The sequence below is a fragment of the Homo sapiens genome, chromosome 12 (assembly GCF_000001405.40).
Source record: "Homo sapiens chromosome 12, GRCh38.p14 Primary Assembly".
Taxonomy (NCBI): domain Eukaryota; kingdom Metazoa; phylum Chordata; class Mammalia; order Primates; family Hominidae; genus Homo; species Homo sapiens.
Window position 1 is genome coordinate 58,426,832 of NC_000012.12, and position 6,000 is coordinate 58,432,831.

The following is a 6,000-nucleotide window of genomic DNA, read 5'->3' on the forward strand; positions in this document are numbered from 1 at the left end:
GGACGTCCACACGGAAACCCCATCTGAAGGTCACTAACATGAAAAACCAAAGGTAGATAAAACCACGAAGATGAGGAAAAACCAGCACAAAAAGGGTGAAAATTCCAAAAAGCAGAACGCCTCTTCTCCTCCAAAGGATCACAACTCCTCACCAGCAAGGGGACAAAACTGGATGGAGAATGAGTCTGATGAATTGACAGAAGTAGGCTTCAGAAGGTGGGTAATAACAAATTCCTCCGAGCTAAAGGAGCATGTTCTAACCCAATGCAAAGAAGCTAAGAACCTTGAAAAAAGGTTAGAGGAATTGCTAACTAGAATAACCAGTTTAGAGAAAACATAAATGACCTGAAGGAGCTGAAAAACACAGCACAAGAACTTCGTGAAGCATACAAAGTATCAATAGCTGAATCAGTGAAGTGGGTGAAAGGATATCAGAGATTGAAGTTCAACTTAATGAAATAAAGTGTGAAGACAAGAATAGAGAAAAAAGAATAAAAAGGAATGAAGAAAGCCTCCAAGAAATATGGGACTTTGTGAAAAGACCAAACCTATGTTTGATTGGTGTACCTGAAAGTGACAAGGAGAATGGAACCAAGTTGGAAAGCACTCTTCAGGATATTATCCAGGAGAACTTCCCCAACCTAGGAAGACAGGCCAACATCCAAATTCAGGAAATACAGAGAACACCACAAGGATATTCCTTGAGAAGGGCAACCCAAAGACACATAATAGTCAGATTTGCCAAGTTTGAAATGAAGGAAAAAATATTAAGGGCAGCCAGAGAAAGGTCGGGTTACCACAAAAGGAAGCTCATCAGACTAACAGTGGATCTCTCTGCAGAAACCTAACAAGCTAGAAGAGAGTGGGGGCCAATATTCAACATTCTTATATAAAAGAATTTTTCAAGCCAGAATTTCATATCCAGCCAAACTAAGCTTCATAAGTGAAGGAGAAATGAAATCCTTTACAGACAGGCAAATGCTGAAAGATGTTGTCACCATCAGGCCTGCCTTACAAGAGCTCCTCTTGAAGGAAGCACTAAATATGCAAAGGAAAAACCCATACCAGCCACTGCAAAAACATACCAAATTGTAAAGATCATCAACACTATGAAGAAACTGCATCAACTAATGGGCAAAATAACCAGGTAGCATCATAATGACAGGATCAAATTCACACATAACAATATTACCCTTAAATGTGAATGGGCTAAATGCCCCAATTAAAAGACACAGACTGGCAAATTGGATAAAGAGTCAAGACCCATTGGTGTGCTGTATTCAGGAGACCCATCTCAAGTGCAAAGACACACATAGGATCAAAATAAAGGGATGGAGAAATATTTACCAAGCAAATGGAAAGCAAAAGAAAAAAAAACAGGAGTTTCAATCCTAGTCTCCGATAAGACAGACGTTAAATCAACAAAGATCAAAAAGACAAAGAAGGGCATTACATAATGGTAAAGGGATGAATTCAACAAGAAGAGCTAACTATCCTAAATATATATGTACCCAATACAGGAGCACCCAGATTTATAAAGCAAGTTCTTAGAGACCTACAAAGAGACTTAGACTCCCACACAATAATAGTGGGAGACTTTAACACCCCACTGTCAATAATAGAGCAACGAGACAGAAAATTAACAAGGATATTCAGGACTTGAACTCAGTTCTGGATCAAGCGGACCTGATAGACATCTATGGAACTCTCCACCCCAGATCAACAGAATATATATTCTTCTCAGTACAACATTGCACTTATTCTAAAATTGACCACATAAATGGAAATAAAACACTCCTCAGCAATGCAAAAGAATGTAAATAATAACAAACAGTCTCTCAGACCACAGTGCAATCAAATTAGAACTCAAGATTAAGAAACTCACTCAAAACCACACAACTACATGGAAACTGAATAACCTGCTCCTGAATGACTACTGGGTAAATAACAAAATTAAGGCAGAGATAAATAAGTTCTTTGAAACCAATGAGAACAAAGACACAACGTACCAGAATTTCTGGGACACATTTAAAGCAGTGTTTAGAAGGAAATTTATAGCACTAAATGCCCACAGGAGAAAGCAGGAAAGATCTAATTAAAAAAACTAGAGAAGCAAGAGCAAACAATTTCAAAATCTAGCAGAAGACAAGAAATAACTAAGATCAGAGCAGAACTGAAGGAGATAGAGATATGAAAAACCTTTCAAAAAATCAGTGAATCCAGGAGCTGATTTTTTGAAAAGATTAACAAAATAGATAGACCGCTAGCCAGACTAATAAAGAAGAAAAGAGAGAAGAATCAAATAGATGCAATAAAAAATGATACAGGGGAGATCATCTCTGATCCCACAGAAATACAAACTACCATCAGAGAATACTATAAACACCTATATGCAAATAAACTGAAAATCTAGAAGAAATGGATAAATTCCTGGACACAACACACCCTCCCAAGACTAAACCAGGAAGAAGTTAAATACCTGAATAGACCAATAACAAGTTCTGAAATAGAGGCAGTAATTAATAGCCTACCAACCAATAAAGCCTAGGACCAGACGGATTCACAGCCAACTTCTGCCAGAGGTACAAAGAGGAGCTGGTACCATTACTTCTGAAACTATTTCAAACAATAGAAAAAGAGGGACTCCTCCCTAACTCATTTTATGAGGCCAGCATCATCCTGATATCAAAACCTGGCAGAGACACAACAAAAAAAGAAAATTTCAGGCTGATATCCCTGATGAACATCAATGTGAAAATTCTCCATAAAATACTGGCAAACCAAATCCAGCAGCCTATCAAAAAGCTTATGCACCACGATCAAGTCGGCCTCATCCCTGGGATGCAAGGCTGGTACAGCATATGCAAATCAATAAACATAATCCATCACATAAACAGAACCAATAACGAAAACCACATGATTATCTCAATAGATGCAGAAGAGGCCTTCGATAAAATTCAACACCGCTTCATGCTAAAAACTCAATAAATTAGATATTGATGGAATGTATCTAAAAATAATAAGAGCCATTTATGACAAATCCACAGCCAATATAATAATGGGCAAAAGCTGGAAGCATTCCATTTGAAAACTGGCACAGGACAAGGATGCCCTCTCTCACCACTCCTATTCAACATGGTATTGGAAGTTCTGGCCAGGGCAATCAGGCAAGAGAAGAAATGAATGGTATTCAAATAGGAAGAGAGGAAGTCAAATTGTCTCTGTTTGCAGATGACATGATTGTATATTTAAAAAACCCCATTGTCTCAGCCCAAAATTTCCTTAAGCTGATAAGCAACTTCAGCAAAGTCTCAGGATACAAAATCAATGTACAAAAATCACAAGCAGTCCTATACACCAATAATAGACAAACAAAGGGCCAAATCATGAGTGAACTCCCATTCACAATTGCTACAATGAGAATAAAATACCTAGGAATCCAACTTACAAGGGATGTGAAGGACCTCTTCAAGGAGAACTGCAAACCACTACTCAAGGAAATAAGAGAGGACACAAATGGATAAACATTCCATGCTCATGGGTAGGAAGAATCAATATTGTGAAAATGGCCATACTTCCCAAAGTAATTTATAGATTCAGTGCTATCCTTATCAAGCTACCATTGATTTTCTCCACAGAATTAGAAAAAACTACGTTAAATTTCATATGGAACCAAAAAAGGGCCCGTATAGCCAAGACAATCCTAAGCAAAAAGAACAAAGCTGGAGGCATTACGCTACCTGACTTCGAACTATACTAAAAGGCTACAGTAACCAAAACACCATGGTACTGGTACCAAAACAGATATATAGACCAATGGAACAGAATAGAGGCCTCAAAAATAACACCACACATCTACAACCATCTGATCTTTGACAAACCTGACAAAAACAAACAATGGGGAAAGGATTCCCTATTTAATAAATGGTGTTAGGAATACTGGCTAGCCATATGCAGGAAACTGAAACTGGACCCCTTCCTTATGCCTTATACAAAAATTAACTCAAGATGGATTAAAGGCTTAAACCTAAGATCTAAAACTCTAAAAACCCTAGAAGAAACTCTGGGCAATACCATTCAGGACATAGGCACGGGCAAGGACTTCTTGACTAACACATCAAAAGCAATGGCAACAAAAGCCAAAATTGACAAATGGGATCAAATTAAGCTAAAGAGCTTCTGCACAGCAAAAGTAACTATCATCAGAGTGAACAGGCAACTTACAGAATGGGAGAAAATTTTGGCAATTTATCCATGTGACAAAAGGCTAATGTCCAGAATCTACAAGGAACTTAAACAAATTTACAGGAAAAAAACAACTCCATTAAAAAATCTGGAAACAACAGACGCTGGAGAGGATGTGGAGTAACAGGAACGCTTTTACCCTGTTGGTGGGAGTGTAAATTAGTTCAACTATTGTGGAAGTCAGTGTGGCAATTCCTCAAGGATCTAGAACCAGAAATACCATTTGACCCAGCAATCCCATTATTGGGTATATACCCAAAGGATTATAAATCATTCTACGATAAAGACACATGCACACGTATGTTTATTGTAGTACTGTTCACAATAGCAAAGACTTGGAACCAATGCAAATGGCCATCAATGATAGACTAGATAAAGAAAATGTGGCACGTATACACTATGCAGCCATTAAAAAGGGTGAGTTCATGTCCTTTGCAGGGACATGGATGAAGCTGGAAACCATCATTCTCAGCAAACTGTGAGTTTCCTGCACAGGAACAGAAAACCAAGCACCCCATATTCTCACTCATAAGTGGGAGTTGAACAATGAGAACACATGGACACAGGGAGGGGAACATCACACACAGGGACTTGTTGAGGGGTGGGGGAGCTACAGGAGGGATAGCATTAGGAGAAATACCTAATGTAGGTGACGGGTTGATGGGTGCAGCAAACCATCATGGCACGTGTATACCTATGTAACAAACCTGCACGTTCTTGCACATGTATCCCAGAACTTAAACTGTAATAAAAAAATAGTGTTAGACATACTTTTTTTTCCCCACCTAGCAAGGTCTCTTTGCTTTAAAAATAGGTACAAAATGAAGTGAGTTTAATTTCTCTATATTTAGTTAGAATTAGGTATCCTGACTTTCTTTTATCATGTTTAAAATTGCACACTTTGATGAATTTTTCCATCTCTCCTGCTTCCATATCTTAACCAGAGATGTGTTAGCATAAATATTTCAGTGTTGATGTTTTAACCATTAGCATTTCTTGAGTTTTTGTTAGCAAATTTAAAAATATTTTGAAGTTTTACTTGTTGTAGGGAAATGCTTTGATGATCTAGAGTTTGAGAGTCAAAATTGTTCTGATTTTTATAGTTCAAGTTTAACCCAATTTCCCAGACAACTTTTTCTATCATAGTTATTGTATTTCCCATGAAGTAAAATTACTACTCTAGTTCATTTAATAAATGTAAAAATTGAAAAACCTCAAAAAGAAACCTACTTACAGTTTTTTCTTTAATATAATTTAATACTAAAGTAGAGGCTATGTTTCCCAGTTTGTATAAAGACTAATTCAACTCAATTTTCATTGCATTTGGGAAAAGCCAGAAGTAGAACTGCATTTGGGGAAAGCAAGAATCTAAATGTTTTAACCCTGGTAATCATCTGTCATTTCTGCTAGTTAGAAAATATCATTTCATCTAGAACTCTCTAAAGGGAAACAGTTTGAATATATTCTTTGAACTATTTGGTCCCAAGTTCCTTCCCGGTTGTCAGCTCAGAAAAATGATGGCCCAAGTCTTAAAAGATAGCACAGTTCAATGAGTAGCAATGCCTAGTGTGGGTCATCCAGGACTCCAAGTAAATGGTGATAGGCTTGAAGTAGTGGGAGAAAGAAGTACAGTGTTTTTAATTTAAATGTAAAATAAATTTCAAAAATTATATTTTTGAATAATAGGAGAATTAATATAAGATACAAACATTAATATGATATAAGTTACAAACGTTAATACAATATGGTACAAGG